The 16734-nt window shown below is 36.9% G+C and overlaps 1 long non-coding RNA gene across 4 annotated transcripts in view, besides 1 other annotated feature; it reads right to left on the bottom strand.

Moving 5' to 3' along the window:
- LOC101929174 (uncharacterized) overlaps nt 1-16734 on the bottom strand; it is a 90309-nt gene that overhangs the window by 55082 nt on the left and 18493 nt on the right. The window lies entirely within an intron of this gene.
- Nucleotides 15358-15563: a transcriptional cis regulatory region, noted in NCBI's record as "candidate enhancer chr11.4755 targeted for multiplex CRISPR interference". NCBI's record gives its function as "positively regulates CTSC gene expression with high confidence in K562 cells {active_cell/tissue: K562}" and the evidence as "EXISTENCE:mutant phenotype evidence [ECO:0000015][PMID:30612741]".

The following is a 16734-nucleotide window of genomic DNA, read 5'->3' as shown; positions in this document are numbered from 1 at the left end:
ACCTGCTTTTAGGACAGCAATATTTTTTCCTCTTATGTTCTGTCAGAAATGAAATAGTTCTTTTGTCCCATCCCTTTTCAGAGTAGTATGCCATTCATTGGAATTCAGTTGGTTTGCCTTGCAATGTCAGCTCTCTTATGATTTCAAAAAATTTTTTATGATTTTGTAGATTTTCTAACTTTTTCTCATTGTTAAGAAGGGAAAGACATTCTCTTGTCACATTCTACATCTTAAGCAGAAATGGACATCCTCATCTACCAATTTTAGCATCAGTTGGTAATTCTTGCCTGAAAATCATTGTGATTAAGGTCACACATTTTTCTAATTTCATTATCATTTCCACATTTATTAACTGACATTCAAAAGCTTGCGCTTTGAAAAAATACAGGTGAAAAACGACTGTGGGAGTATCCACGAGTAATAAGGGTACCCCACACTACATTTCCTGAATTGTATGAACTATGAAATATTTTCCAGAAAACTCTAGTACGTTTTCTTAATTCTGCCTCTTCATCAACATATAGTTAAAATCCGCAATCATTATTTCAAGCTTTACTAACTGCCTAACATCGAATTATGGACCATGCTAAGTTCTATCGATACAAAAGAAAATGATCTATTATCTGTTCTCAAAAATAGTTAACCTTTACTCAACACTTACCATGTCTCAGGAACCCTTCTAAATGATTAATAAGTATTGCTTTACTTAATCCTCACAACAATCCTATGTGTTGTGTACTTATTACTTTTTTCATTTATAGTACATTTAACCACAGTAGAGATTCATAAAAATTAGGTAGTCTGTGAGAGACAAAGTTGAGATACAAACCCAGGCAATCTGATTCTAGAACCAATGCTACTATGCTCCTCTGCCTTTAAGTGTGGTGGAGTTAAATGGGCTTGAGATCTCTTCTCAGTCAGATCTGGGTTCTAATCTTGGGAACAGCGCTTACTATACGTGTGGCATATGGTCAGTTTCTGTTCATCTCTCTTTAGTTTGTTTTTTTTAATCTGAAAAATGGGGAAAATAATACCAATGTCCTCAAGCTAGTCTAACAATAAAGAAAAGTACAGAATGCTAAAGAAAATCCAGTACTGTGTCTGACATAGTAACTCAATCCTTAGTTTTTGTTTATTTCCTTTTTCATGAAGGCTGTCAATCTGGTGCAAATAAAATATGTTTCAGTGTGGCAGTGCTATGCCAAGAGATGTACAAAGTACTCTCCTAATGCAGAATAATTAGTTATTCTCAACTGGAGAGGAGGTTAGAGAGAGGTTCACAGGGCAAATGAGCCTGCGGTGTCATAAAATGCATGGCATAACCTGTGTACTTGAAAAGGAATGATAGTAATCACAATTTAATGCCAACTTCCTTTTAATCTTCTGAAAATACTCAACTCACATTAGCAGATGTAGCTACTACACGAGTCTTCAAGATAATTTTTAAAAGCACTAGACCTTTGGAGGAGAAATATTTTTTTCCACAAACTTGTGGGTTCTGACTCTGGACTTTGCTCTCTGCTGTCTATAACACTGAGAAGTCTTTTTTTCACGTCCAATTGTGTAGTCTTAAGAAACTAATGGATGGCATTCATGTCCCCTTGAGGTCTTTTTTTTTTTTTTTAATCTTGCAAAACTTCTCCAGGTTTCTAAACTAATCTTCCTATTCTGCAAAGTTTTTTTTTTTATTCCAGAGACATTCACTGTCATTCTAGACTATAAGAGAGGTGTTGGAGATGTAGTAGTGAGAGTTACTAAATTCCCTGCTCTGAAGGCACGTGTAGCTAGAGAGAAGACAGACAAGAGAAGAGATGTTTTCTCAGGGTGCTATGGATTACAGACTCTTCTTCCTCCAAGCCTCCATCTCTAGAAAAACACCAGTAAAATATGAGCAACCCTCACATTTCAGTCACATTTGACAATGTGCATAACATTCTTGGAAAATAAAAAAGAACAGAGCGACATTACACTGAAATTATATCTCCTTTATCTGGCACTGAGATTATTCTTGCCTCTGGTTTAGAAAAAGCTGCAGAATCAGAAAAGCAAATGTGCCTAATCCTGCAAAGAAAAAGAACTTGGAGGCAGGAGAGAGCAAAGCTAGCTGGTTCAGAGTCAGTTTCGATGAGAATATAAACCATTTGGTGCAATCTGAACCTGAGACTAACATATTTCCTGTTCTCATGATCAAGTGAAGTTTCCTCTGTTGAGAAAATTTCTTTTTTATGTACTCCTATGATTCAGCTGACTGAATCCTTAAGGAATCAATATTAATCAATTGGGTTCTTTAACCAGTAGCTGTCAGTGTAATTTGAAGAGTTCAATAGAATTACTTCAATCATTTTTGCTCCATCCACATTATGTTCGTTCATTCTCTTTCTCTCTCTCTCTCTTTCTTTCTTTTTTTTTTTTTTTTTTTTTTTTTTTACAGAGTCTTGCTCTGTTACCCAGGCTGGAGGGCAGTGGCACAATCTTGGCTCACTGCAACCTCTGCCTCCCAGGTTCAAGCAATTCTCCTGCCTCAGCCTCCCGAGTAGCTGGGATGACAGGTTTGTGCCACCACACGTGGCTAATTTTTTGTATTTTTAGTAGAGATGGGTTTTCACCATGTTGACCAGGCGGGTCTTGAACTCCTGACCTCAAGTGATCTATCAGCCTCAGCCTTTCCAAGTCCTGAGATTACAGGCATGAGCCACCATGCCTGGCCCATTCGCATTATTTTCATTTTAAATTTTTTTATTTTACTGTACTTAAAGAGAGATGAAAACACCTTGGCATAGAATTTCCTACGACAGGTTGTGGTGGAGTTGGGGAAGAAATTCTTCCCCATTTTAAAAATTCTACACACTGTATATCCTTTCCAGGTAAAAAAGGGGCCACTGATACATGATCAATAGTTTTCCTGTTTTGCACACTTATGACCAAAGGCCCACATTTATAAGATGCCCAGCCAAGGTTAGCAGTTCATTCTGTGACCATAGATTAGGGTTTTTTCTCAATGTACAGCAAAGGAACCTCTGCAGACACCAAATTTTGAAAACACTAAGTCCTTACTCTCCAAGATCATTATTGACCAACCCAGAGCTCTGGACAACATAGCTATCTTATCCCAAAGGTTTGAAATTAAGAGAGATGTGAGTCCCTCAATTTGCCCAAAGAAAAATAAAGTTTCATGTCAGAAGGAAGATGTACTGATGCTTCAAGGGGAAGATAATGATAGAGTGAGATCTTTCAATATTTCTTTTTAAGTAGACTCAGGAGAAAGAGGTTGGTCCCATAACCCAGAGACATACATGCCTCTCTCAGCCTCAGAGCTAAAGGAGGAGACTGTACTTGTCCTTCTGAATTATGCTAACCTTGCACAAGAAAATAGTGTCATGGCTTCCACAAACCATAGATTTCTGAAGGTACTCAGAGGGAGAGAGCTAGGTTAATTTTAGAATTTTTATTTAAAAACTAATAGAAGTAAATGTCTTTGTCATAATATGTGTGTGGAGGAAGGGGTAGTAGTAGGGAAACACTGAAGTACTAGGCTACACGTCTGTGCTCTTGATTTCCAACTGTGGTTGCAAGAATTGTGTCGATTTTCTCATGCTTCCTTGTTTGCAAAGTTTGCAACCTTACATGCTACACATGGTATTAGCACCACACTCTAACCAACTGAGCTAACTGGCCTCCAACAATACATGTGATAAATGCACATTCAACTTCTAACTAAACAAACGTTTGACTGAATAGTTTCGCTTTTTAAACTCTGTAGACATTTGATGCCCCCTCTTAGTTACTTCATCAGTGTCACACATGACTCATTAAAAGCCATTTTTATTCAATAAAAATATATTAAATATGTACTTGGTACAGGGATTCTGCCAGACCTCTTTTCAAGAAGGGGGTGTAGAGACAAATCAAATATGAATTGCATATATAGATATAGATAGTGAGATAGATGGAAATAAAGTGACATGGAAATGATAGAGAGGAAAGTGTCATTGTTGCCAGGTGAGCTGGATAAGATAGAACCTCAGGATTAGAATTGGCTCTGGAAGGATGGGTAAAATTTGAAACTGAGAGATGGAACATTGCAACCAGAAAGAAGAGTCTGAGTAGGAACATGGTCCATGGGGATCAGGCATAGGTTTGAAGGGAAATATTGAAAATAGGTTTCAGGTCCGGGAATACTGAGCAAAAGGCCAGGATTTACGTACCACTGAGAATTACAGTTATACTCATTATTGAACAACTTGGCTCTATAAAACATGCTGACTACTTTTCTGGGTTTAGTTCTCTTTGTCTGAAATTCTTTCCCATCTTCCCACCTCCATCACCATCCCTGGTCATTTTTTTCTACTTAATTTTTGCCCATTATTTGGATATCAGCCTAAATATTACTTCCTCAAGGAGATTTCTTTAACCCATATGATGAAGTCAGAGCTTTTTAAAATAATTATTCACAATGCCCTATGATTTTCCTGCAGAACAGATATGAAATTTTAATTACATAGTCTTGTGTTTAATTATTATTTTCCCTGCTAGATGATAAGCTTCAGGAAGGCAGAAATAATTTTCATCTTATTTAATTCTATATCCTCAGTGTCTAGCAAACTATCTGGTTTATAATGGGTGTTAAATAAGTATTTCTGGAACAAATGACAAACTAAATGAAGATATAAAGATAATTAGCAGCATGATATGCTAAAAGTAGGGAAGATAAAGACTTTAGGGTTCCCAAAAGCACAGGGGTGAGCAACGTCACAGTACTGTTTTCAACCAGGGTTTAGCTGACAGAGAAGTCTTTAAAGTATGTGCTATGCCAAGTCTTGTAATATACATTTGAGGTGGCACCACTAATATAAACAACAAAATAATAGCTCCATATATCAAGGGCTTATTGGACGCCAGGTTGCCGGGTTATACATGCATTACTTCATGCAGAGATGAATAAGACATGATACCAGCAATTCATCATTAATTGGGAAAAATGATAATGAGTAATGCAAATAATTAACTTTAATTTGATTAACTTTAATTTGACGTGTAAACATTGTTTCTAAGATAGAAGTAATTACTGAGACTTTCAGAAAACAGAGGGCATGGGAGAAATTAATTTTGCCTATGGGAATCAAGGAGGGATTCAAAGAGGTGACATTAAGCTAGGCCTTGAGTACAGCAGGTAGATAAGGACAGAGGGGTGTAATTAAAGGCATTAGTGAGAAAACTGTGTGAAAAAAGACATGAAAGTTTAAAAGTGCTTGTCAAAGTTCAGGAAAAAATGAGTAACGTGTTGTGAGAGGAAAGTGAATGGGAAGTAGTGCAAAATAAAGGTGGAAAAATTAAACTGGGGACAGATTGTGAAGGTCTTGGCACAAGAAGCTAAGGAGTTTGGACTTGACAGTATTCTGAAAACAGTGTGGAGACTTCTAAAGCTTTTTTTTTTTTTTTTTTAAGTAAGAGAAAGACAAAGTGAGATCAAATTTATAGTTTAGAAAGATTGCTTCCTTTGATCCAAGACCTGAGAAAAGCTTAAAAGAGATCCCTATCAGCAAAAGGCTGCACTTGGTTAGCAACTCCTGTGGGTCTCCGTACAGAATGAATACCACGTGATCTTGGCATTGAAAGGCAGCTGATTCTGCACCTATCATTCACCCACACTTCCGCACAAACATTGCAACTACCCTTAGCAACACCATTCCAAATTGAGATTAAATGTAGAGTCATGTATCCTCTCCCTTTCTTATGTTGGTGTAGTCAACATTCTAATGTTCACAATTGTTTATGAAATATTTTGTCTATTTTTCTATAAAATTGTAAAATCTTAAAAGATAGAATACAAGTTTTGCATAATTTGAATCCTGGCTAAGGTCTAGTGAGTGTAAAATAAGAAATTAACATATTTATATAGATTTTTTAATTTCAAGAAGAAAATATGCTTTCAGAATATACAAGCAACACTTCAGTATATAAACCCACCCTTTGGTGGGTTTGTCTTTATGAATAGACAAATACACATGCACAAACTTTTTATTTTTCCCTTTGGAAAATTGATTTACCATACTATGTATACTTTGACTATATAATTATTTTTTCACTCAGACTGTCATGGATAGCTTTTCAAGTCAGTATTGGAAGATCTAACATATACTTTTAAAAATATCTGTACAAAATGGCATAGTATGAAGATATGACAATTTATTTAACTTCTTTTTTATTAATGATTATTTAAGGTATTTAATTGGTTTCGAATTATTAATTCTCACAAATTATGCTGACATTATTATTTGAGTTCTTGAACACTTTCAAGTATTATTGTACTACAGGTTGCCAATGTCAGTACTGCTAAGTCAAAATACGCACGCTTTTTCAATACATTTTTTCAAATTATTTTCTAAAAGGGGTATATAAGTTTATACCACTATAAAAGGTTTATTGAACTGCCTATTTTCTCAAACCAGTGCTGTTCAACACAGAAGCCACTAGCCATATGTAGCTATTTAAATTTAAATTTTAAAAAATTAAAAATTCAATTTTTAGTAACATTGGCAATATTTATTTATTTATTTCCATATAGGATCTTGCCCTGTCACCCAGACTCTGTAGTGATGTGGCGTGATCATGGCTCACTGCAGCCTCAAACTCCTAGGCTCAAGAGATCCTCCCACCTCAGCTTTCAGAGTAGCTGGAGCTACAGGTGCCTGCTGCCACACCTAGCTAATTTTTTTTCTTTTTCTTTTTTTTAGAGATAAGGTCACTGTGTTGCCCAGGCTGGTCTCACACTCCTGACCTTAAGCAGTCCTCCCACCTGGGCCTCCCAAAATGCTAGGATTACAGTTGTGAGCCACCACACTTAGCTGGCAATATTTTAACTGACCAATAGCTAGCTACATGTAGTTTTTGGTCACCATAATTAACAACACAGATACAGAAAGTTCCATCATCACAGAAAGTTCTATTGAACAGTGCTACCTCAAATTATGGTTAACATTGGGTGTCATGAATCTTTATGAATCTTTTACATTTTGGGCAATATAATTTTTTTCTTTTTTTTCTTTTTTTTTTTTTTTTTTTAGAGACAGAGTCTTGCTGTGTTGCTTAGGCTGGCTTCAAACTCCTGAGCTCAAGTGATCCTCCCACCTCAGCCTCTCAAATAACGGGGACTACAGGATCCAACACTGCAGCAGCAATATGATACATTTATCAAGGCCTCATTTTAATTTTCCTTCTTATTCAAACTGTAAGCATTCTTAAAGTGTTTATTGATTATTTCTATTACTTCTCATGTTAAGTGGCTGTTCATATTCTTTCTTCATGTTTCATAGGATTGCTTGACATTTATTATTAATATGCAAGACAAATATTTATCAACTGACTCAATGTATCTATGAGGTAGCAGAGCAAAACACAATTTAAATAACATTACTGTGACATTATTTGACCCATAAAAAGGGTTTGAACATATAATAAGCAATTGCTTGCAAAGAAATGCCTCATAATAAATTATAAATTATGTATCTTTTTATCAAAACAATTTTCCAAATATTGTAGATTGTCAACACTTGATTAATAAATTTGAGATTATTAATTGAAACCAATAAAACTGCTTTTCTTGATAAAGAATTAAATACATCTAATTCATCTTAAATAAGCCCAACTTTATTCCTGGTTTTCCTTATGTAGGAAGGCTTTACTGAATTGAGAGACAGACTGCATTAGGTCCTACCATGTTTGAAAAAGTGCTTTACAATAAAGATGAGATTGTAAAGCCCTCTCCCCCAAAACATAAAAAAGGGTACCTCTGTATGCTGTAGATGTAAAAATGTAGAATAAATCAAAATGTAAATGAGGTTTTTCATGCTTTTAGTTTTGATGATTATAATTTAATGCTAAGAATTTACTAGCAGCTGGCTGGAAGACAGAAATAATAGCAATTTCAATGTTTCTATAGCACGTTATAATTCCCCCAAAATTTTCATGCAAATCACTCTTTGCGCAAAAATAAATGAATGACAATGAAGTTGGGAGAAAGCTTGAAAACGCAGAGTTGGAAGGTTAAAGGTTTAGGTTACAGGAGTCAGAAAAGCTTTTTTTGGAATCTTAGAAGCTTTCTTGGTACTGGCCAAAGCTTTTCTTGGTACTGGCCAAAGTCAATGTACCACGAAAGGGAGGTTTGCTCAGATTGGCCCTGATGGTGCACAACAGAAGCATTGTCACCCAGGATGTCACTTGGCAGCTTGGAAAGTAATGGGGTCTGAAGGCTAGAAATAGACCCTGAGAACTGGGGCACACCCCAAGGAAATCGGGGGAAATGAGAAATGAGTTAATGTCTGAGAGTAATTCCAAATATGGGGATTAGAAAGAATGGACCACATAACCCAAGATGGAAGATATACAGTTTTTTTGACTTGTAAAATAATGATGATGATGATGATGATGATGAATGATGATAGCCACCTATGCTAAATAACTGTATTTAATCTTCACAATGATTTTTTTTTTTGAAAAACCTAATGTTCGCTTTGACAAAACTGGTTCAGAGCTGTAATAAGTTGCCAAAGCCTAATCACAAGCAGATCCATGATTCTAACTCAAATCTTTTAACTTAAAATTTTATGCCCACAACCTCTCCTATCTCTGGGGAAGTGAAATAGCCTGAGGATCTGTCTCTATCTTTAGGCACAACTGAAATGAGTGACAAGACTGTTCTTTAATAAATGAATGTGTATAGGTTGAACGCCAAAATTCCAGACATTGCAGGGAAGCAGTTTTGAACTCTCTTTGGTGGATTGTGTTTGTGTAAGGAACAGAAGCTTCTCTTCAGGGGTGATCTTATCACTACACAATGTCAAAGATAAATGTATTTTCAGCCTCTGCATTAAACTCACCTTGCCACCTCTTTGTCTTTGTGCTCCTCACATCAAGTGCCTCAGCAGCCTGTGATTCTGTGTTTTTATAATCTCTCTGGTTTCAACCAAAATGGAAAAAGTAGTCTTAGGTATATATGAAGGAAGAAGAACAGCATGATCTCACCTAAGAAGGACTGAGGCTATCCAGTAACGAAAATCAAGAAAAACCTGCAACAGAGGCCTCAACCCTGTATTGCGGGTGGGGTGGGAGTCTCACAGTGAGATGGCATCACCACTTCATGTTGCCCAATACCCTTGCTAAGAGTGTCTCATAGGAAGAGTCTCTGATATGAACCTAATATTTTATTTTCTTTGAATTCCCTCAGATATAAATTTGAGATAAGGATAGGTATCTGACTGGAGTTGTAGGAAGATTAAATGTGATGATTATGTAAGCATTAATCAAGTTCCTGAGTTGAAGGAGGCACTAATAAGAGGAGACTTTTTGAAGTGATGGTGAGTCATTTCCTCCTTACAAAATCTTTCTGAATTCTCTTTTCTCACTGGTAAAATAAGGATACTAGTACTGTACTGTTACTGTGACAATTAAAAGAGATGCAAATGCAAAGTGTTTGGCTTATAGGAGGTACACAAGAAGCAGAAGGTATTAACATAGCTGTTTCTTCACTAGGGTCTGTCTGTGTGGTAAGAGGATTTGTAGGAAACATCTCTGGGATCCCATCCCTAATTTTCTTCTTAGCATCCTCAACGATTTATGTGTAGACACTAACAACTCACTAGATTACAGATCCATTAAAGGGGAAAGGTGTACATACCCCAAATGCCCAACTATAGGGGAATAATTATATATATTTTGAGACTTCTCTTTGATGGCATATTCAGTGTAATCATTACTAAATTCAGATAATAAAATACTATGTTACACAAAATAATAGTAGGCATAAGTTCTATGTAACAGCAATGTAAACAAATATATGTACACAGATAAAGTCTGTTAACTCTGTAAGAGCAGAGGCATTAGTGTGGGAGTGTGGCTGGGGTTGGGGAGGGTGTTTGCTCTGTGAGACCAGGGACGTGTGTGTGTATAAGAGTGTGCTTGCCTATGCATTGCAGCATTGCAGTTGTCCAGTAGGATGCATGGCACAGATGTATTAGTCAAATAATATATGAAGTGGGGGAAAAGGAACATAGAAAAACAAAACAGTTCTCTTAAACAGAGTTTAAATTTTGCTTTAAAATTTTTCTGTGCTGAATTTACAATATGAAAAGCAGGCAATAAAAATTGTAGCCTCCTAGAATATCAGAGAAAGTTACATTTGGAACACAGAGTTACAAACATGGTACCTTCCCTCCTACCCCACCTCAAAGCAACCATTGTTAAGAGTTTTCTGGTTATCTAAGACTTTTTAAAAATACATATACAAACATAAAATTACACACATTCTCTTACCAGGTAACTTTTGTTGCACATCATGTATTTTGGCCATCCTTCTATGTTTGTATTTAAAGCTCTTATTCTTTTCTTGACAACTCCATAAATATTCCATAGTATGTGTTTTTGTTTTTGTTTTTGCTTTTGTTTTTGTTTTTTGAGATGGAGTCTTGCTCTGTTGCCCAGGCTGTAGTGCAATGGCGCGATCTTGGCTCACTGCAACCTCTGCCTCCTGGGTTCAAGCGATTCTCCTGCCTCAGCTTCCCAAGTAGCTGGGATTACAGGTGTGCGCCACCACGCCTGGCTAATTTTTGTATTCTTAGTAGAGATGGGTTTTTGCCATGCTGGCCAGACTGGTCTTGAACTCCCAACCTCAGGCGATCCACCTGCCTCAGCCTCCTAAAGTGCTGGGATTACAGGCGTGAGCCACCATGTCTGGCCAATAGTATGTGTTTTCCTTAATTTTCTTAACCACTTGCATATTACTCACTATTTATGATTATAAGAATGCTATAATTACTTTCCTTTTTTTTTTTTAATAGAGTTCCGCTCTTCTGGCCCAGACTGGAGTATAATGGCAGGATCTCGGCTCACTGCAACCTCCGCCTCCTGGGTTCAAGCTATTCTCCTGCCTCAGCCTCCTGAGTAGCTGGGATTACAGGTCTGCGCCACCACACCTGGCTAATTTTTGTATTCTTAGTAGAGATGGGTTTTTGCCATGCTGGCCAGACTGGTCTTGAACTCCCAACCTCAGGTGATCCACCCGCCTCAGCCTCCCAAAGTGCTGGGATTACAGGCGTGAGCCACCGTGTCCGGCCAATAGTATGTGTTTTCCTTAATTTTCTTAACCACTTGCATATTACTCACTATTTATGATTATAAGAATGCTATAATTACTTTACTATTTTTTTTTTAATAGAGTTCCGCTCTTGTGGTCCAGGCTGCAGTATAATGGCAGGATCTCGGCTCACTGCAACCTCCGCCTCCTAGGTTCAAGCTATTCTCCTGCCTCAGCCTCCCGAGTAGCTGGGATTACAGTCATGCGTCACCATGCCTGACTAATTTTTGTATTTTTAGTAGAGACGGGGTTTCACCATGTTGGCCAGGCTGGTCTTGAACTCCTGATCTCAGGTGATACACCCGCCTCGGCCTCCCAAAGTGCTGGGATTACAGGCGTGAGCCACTGCGCCCGAACTGTAATTAACCTTTTATCCATGGAATTGTAGAGTCAAAGCATCACATGAACTTAAAATTTTGATCAACATTGACAAATTCCTCTTCAGGAAATGCTATTTCTATTATTGTACCCATCAATAGTACAGCAAAGTGCCTGTTTTCACACGTCTTCATTTAAACTGGATATGGTTAATCTATTACATTTTTATCAATCTTATAGGTAAAATTAATATATATTTTAATATGCATCTTGAAGTATTGATCAGAATTATTTTATTTCATTTAAACGACTAATTTGTATCTCTGGTTCATTTTTCTATTGGGTTTTTTTCTTTTCTTTTTTTTTCGAGAGGGAGTCTCCCTCTGTCCCCCAGGCTGGAGTGCAGTGCCGCGATCTCGGCTCACTGCAAGCTCCGCCTCCCGGGTTCACACCATTCTCCTGCCTCAGCCTCCCGAGTGGCTGGGACTACAGGCGCCCGCCACCACGCCTGGCTAATTTTTTGTATTTTTAGTAGAGACGGGGTTTCACCGTGTTAGCCAGGATGGTCTCGATCTCCTGACCTCGTGATCCGTCCGCCTCCGCCTCCCAAAGTGCTAGGATTACAGGCGTGAGCCACCGCGCCCGGCCGGGTTTTTTCTTTATTAGTAAAGAATACGTACTTGTTCAAAAGGAAGTCTGAAATGCAATCACTAAAGACCCACGTTAAATTTAATTTTTTTTTTTTCCCTGGGAGAAGCAAATCATTTACCGCTAGGGAGAGTAGAAAAACCCTGACTAGGAGCAGAAAGAGTGAGAATTCAAAGTTGACAATTATTGCTCGAGCTGGCTTTGCCCTTCTTCCTTGCTCAAATGCAGAGAAGGCCTTCTGTTCATGAAAACAGGTATCTTAGCCAAAAACCAGAGCTGAACATTAGGGCTCTCAATTTTCCACTGGGGAGGGCGGGTTCTGCCTGTGCTTGAGACACTTCACCTTATAAAACAAAATTAGTTGATCCACTCAACAGGTAATTGCTAGTTAATGAGGTTACAGCAGGATAAAACAGATGTGCTCAGTACCGCTTAATGGTGAGGAGAAAAACAATTCTCCTCCTGGTCTTCAGTAGAGGTTGAAGGATAGGGGCAGGTGGATGAATAGGGGTGAAGGTAAATAGGGATGAATATACAGACTGATGCATTTTGAGAAACTTGTCAGAATGGGGTGAGAAAGAAGATACAGGACTGGTGAACATGCTTTTGGGTTATTGTTTAACAAACATAATGGTAAAACATTAAATTATTCTTTTACTGGGTAATTTTTTGTTACTAATTATTTAGCAAAGTTAATAACTGAAAACCATTCCTACATTGTTTTTTTCTTATTTGGTTAAGTTTTTTTTCAGTAAAACCTCCTTTGATCTCCTCACCCCATTCGAGAGATACTGAATTTGCATTCAATGAGTATATACTTCTGATAGCAGTATTACTCTATTTAGCTATGTTCACTTGTTAGAAAAAAAAAAAAGCAATAGATGCTTTGTGCTTTCCATGTTTGAATAAGCCCATTTCTGTCTATTTCTAAAAATGTCAAATGTTTTTAAATGTTTTATGGCTACCCATTTAAAATACATTTTTAAATGTAAAACTGTGATATCAGGATATCAAAACTAAAAGAATAAACATAGTCAAATTCTCTACTTTTAGGAAAAAGAAAGCATGACTCAAAAGTTTTAAAATACTTCCCCCTGTGAAAACATTCTGTTCCTCCCTTTCACACCCTTCATTTGTACAAGAAAAGATGAAGCAAAGGAGAAAAAGAAATGAAAATTAACATTGAGTTTAGGTGGCATATGTATTCCAACAGGGCATATGAGGGTTTTATCAGTAGCTACAGAAACCACTTCCTCTTTTCAGTGTTAGTTTACTAATCCCTTGAAGCTTGCGTGCACCTTCCACTCCTCACCTTCTGTAGCCACTCACCTCCTCTCACATCCCACATTACACTTCTATGTGCTATGGGATCCATCTAGGCAGTAGTTACTCTTATTTCAAAACAAGGATGTTAAAAATTACTCTACTCATCAACAAGTGAAAGATCATGCCTTGCAGCTTTGTGAGCTGTGCAAGGTGGCTTAGCTTCTTGACTCCGAAGCTTTCCTAAAGTAACAGATATTTGCTTACTATAAATGCTTCTTGAGTTGCTACAGGGGTAATTTGCAAAGAGAAAGCAGAGGCTCAGGATAATGCTAGATTTTTCATGTCTGGGTGGATAAGAATCTTTCCTTTTATGTTTATAAAATTAAAAATTGGGTGCATTCGGTATATGGCATACTGACAGAGCATGGGAACTGGACACTGACCAAGGTTTGAATAGTGACACTGCTATTTACAAGCTGTGGACTCTCTACAAGATAAGTAACTTGCAGATTATTATACTATCTCAGGGTTTATGGGAAATATATATATATATTTGTATTTTTATATATATATTTGTATATTATATATATTTGTATATTATATATATTTGTATATTTATATATATATTTGTATATTATATATAAATTTGTATATTATATATATTTGTATATTATATATATATTTGTATATTATATATATATATTTGTATATTATATATATATATATTTGCATTTTTAGTACAGATGGGGTTTCACCGTGTTAGCCAGGATGGTCTCCATCTCCTGACCTCAGGTGATCCACCCACCTCAGCCTCCCAAAGTGCTGGGATTACAGGCATGACCCGCTGCGCCCAGCCTATGAGGATTATATTTTTAAGGTAATTCAAAATATCTGAAATAGCAGGTGTTTGATAAAAGCAGTTTTCTCTCCTTTCTTCTGAAATTCAAATAACCAAATTTCACATCGCTGGAATTTTGGTGAATCTTTATACGGGGGAATTATCATGCCTGAATCTCATTCAAATACTTTTCACAATTATAAAATATTCTTTCTTGATTATTCTAATCCACATTTTACTAGCACAGAAAAATTAAGTCAAAGACTTGGTGAGAAAAAGTGGTTTTCCCCAAATGACCAGCTAGTTAATGGTAGAGTGTGGCCTGACATCAGTTTTCACGACTCAGAGGTAGGAAATGCCAAAAGCAGTCTTTCAAAGCTGGTGTGCAGTAGTCCTTCCCACATTTTCATTTTAAATTATTCAAACAAAAATTGTTTATCAATGACAACTTCCATTTTCCCCAACTTGGTAGTACTACCTTTATAGTTAGTTGCTAAATAACATATATTTTGATTAAATAGCTCTGAATTATCTTATATAACTTGTATTTTATTAATCGCAACAGGGTCTATTAATATGCACATATGAGAAAGTCATGCATGAATAGAAGACATACTACTGATTAATATGTGTCTTTGATGCATTTTGCTTCCTCCACTCCATAAATCAACTTCACATGGTCTGAATTTGGAAAACCCGGATATAAAGTTCTTCCTTGTTTATTGTTTTCTGCTTGCTACTCTTTTCTTCTCAAAAGAACTATGAATTTCTTGAAGGTTGGGAGAGCAGATTCTTAGAAAAAATATGAAGAGGATGAAGGTTTTTTATTTTTCTATGTTTCTCCTTTCCTTTTTTCTTAATCTCTGGAAACCTCCCACACTTCAGGGCCCAGGGCCCTCCTACTGTGATGTTCTCTCTGGGCTTTGTATAAATTCAAATCTTTTACCACTTTTTCTAGTATCCCTAAGGGATTTTTGTGGGAAAAATAATCTTAGCTAACTTTGATGACGCGTATTTTGTTACAGTTCTCAGAAGTGTTTGTATTTTAACCACAGGCAATTACATTCAATAAATATTTATTGAAGCCTATTCTAAACCTGAATAGTGTCAATTACAGGACCTTCCTGCCATGCCCACCACCTATAAAGATGCTAAGGAAGGCAGACAAATAAATAAATTAAATGAAGCATGCAGTCAATATGGTGATGAAAGCAGGTACGCTGTGTAGCTGTTGTACAGAAGAAGGAATGACTAAGCATTCTTGGTATAACAGGGAGGGCTTTCTCAATGACCCAAAGGAATTCATCATAAAAGTGAAATTTCAGACATCAGTGATAAACTAGTAGAAAAATTGCTACCCCTAAGCTAAATTTCACTGTTTTGTCACATTGAAACTTTATGCAAACAAAATAGAAACTTTCATCTCTTTGCCAAATTTTTCCCTCTGCTAAGTCACCCTACCTAAGTCAGTTTCTCTTTTTCTGTCTCTCTCTGTCTCTCTTTCATCTTCTCCTTCTCTCTCTTGCTCACTAGCTCTAGTTCTCACTCTTGCTCTTACTCTAAAAGCAAAACATCTGCACCATCACAGACTAGCTATAACCTCTCCTCCTCAGATTCAAATCTCTTCCTTGCCTTTAGAAGAATTAATGGTTCCCTTCTTCATGCTCTCCTCACACTGTATTTAAAACTCACAGCCTTTATCATATTCTGCGTATTAAAGTCACTACCACTCAGTTTAGTAGTAATAAACCTTTACATTTCTATTATAAATCTTACAGTTTACAAAATAGTTTCACATATATCATCACATGTGATCCTGACAACAGCTCTTTAAGGTGAGAATTATCTTTGGGTTTTTTTTTTTGTTTTTTTTTTGTTTTTTTTTTGAGACGGAGTCTCACTCTGTCCCCCAGGCTGGAGTGCAGTGGCGCCATCTCGGCTCATTGCAAGCTCCGCCTCTCAGGTTCAAGCCATTCTCTTGCCTCAGCCTCCCGAATAGCTGGGACTACAAGGGCCCGCCACCACGCCCGGCTAAATTTTTTGTATTTTTAGTAGAGACGGGGTTTCACCGTGTTAGCCAGGATGGTCTGGATCTCCTGACCTCGTGATCTGCCCATCTCGGCCTCCCAAAGTGCTGGGATTACAGGCGTGAGCCACCGCTCCCAGCCAAGAATTATCTTTGTTTTATTATGAGAATATCTAAACCTCAGAGAATTTACGCAAGATAATACATTTAGTAAGCAGCTGCCAAAGTTAGGTCTTCTAACGCTAAAGTTATTTCTCTAATGTAATTTTGAGACAATATTCTTTGCATAACATCTTACAAATTGAGGACATCATACTGGATTTGAATGGAGAAAATAAGCTACATATTCTTGAACTTTATAGTTTCCTTGCCTCTTATGTTTAACTATCCAGTAATTTTTATCACACTTTTTTAACATTTATCTTCAAAACTGCAAGTTCTGTTTTTGTTCCAGAAATATTCTGTGGAATTAACATGTGCATAGAGTCAAACTACTTGAACTTTATTTTA

This window comes from Homo sapiens, chromosome 11, assembly GCF_000001405.40.
Source record: "Homo sapiens chromosome 11, GRCh38.p14 Primary Assembly".
Classification (NCBI taxonomy): Eukaryota; Metazoa; Chordata; class Mammalia; order Primates; family Hominidae; genus Homo; species Homo sapiens.
Note: the sequence above shows the minus strand (reverse complement) of the source record. Positions and strands in the feature narration are given on the sequence as shown.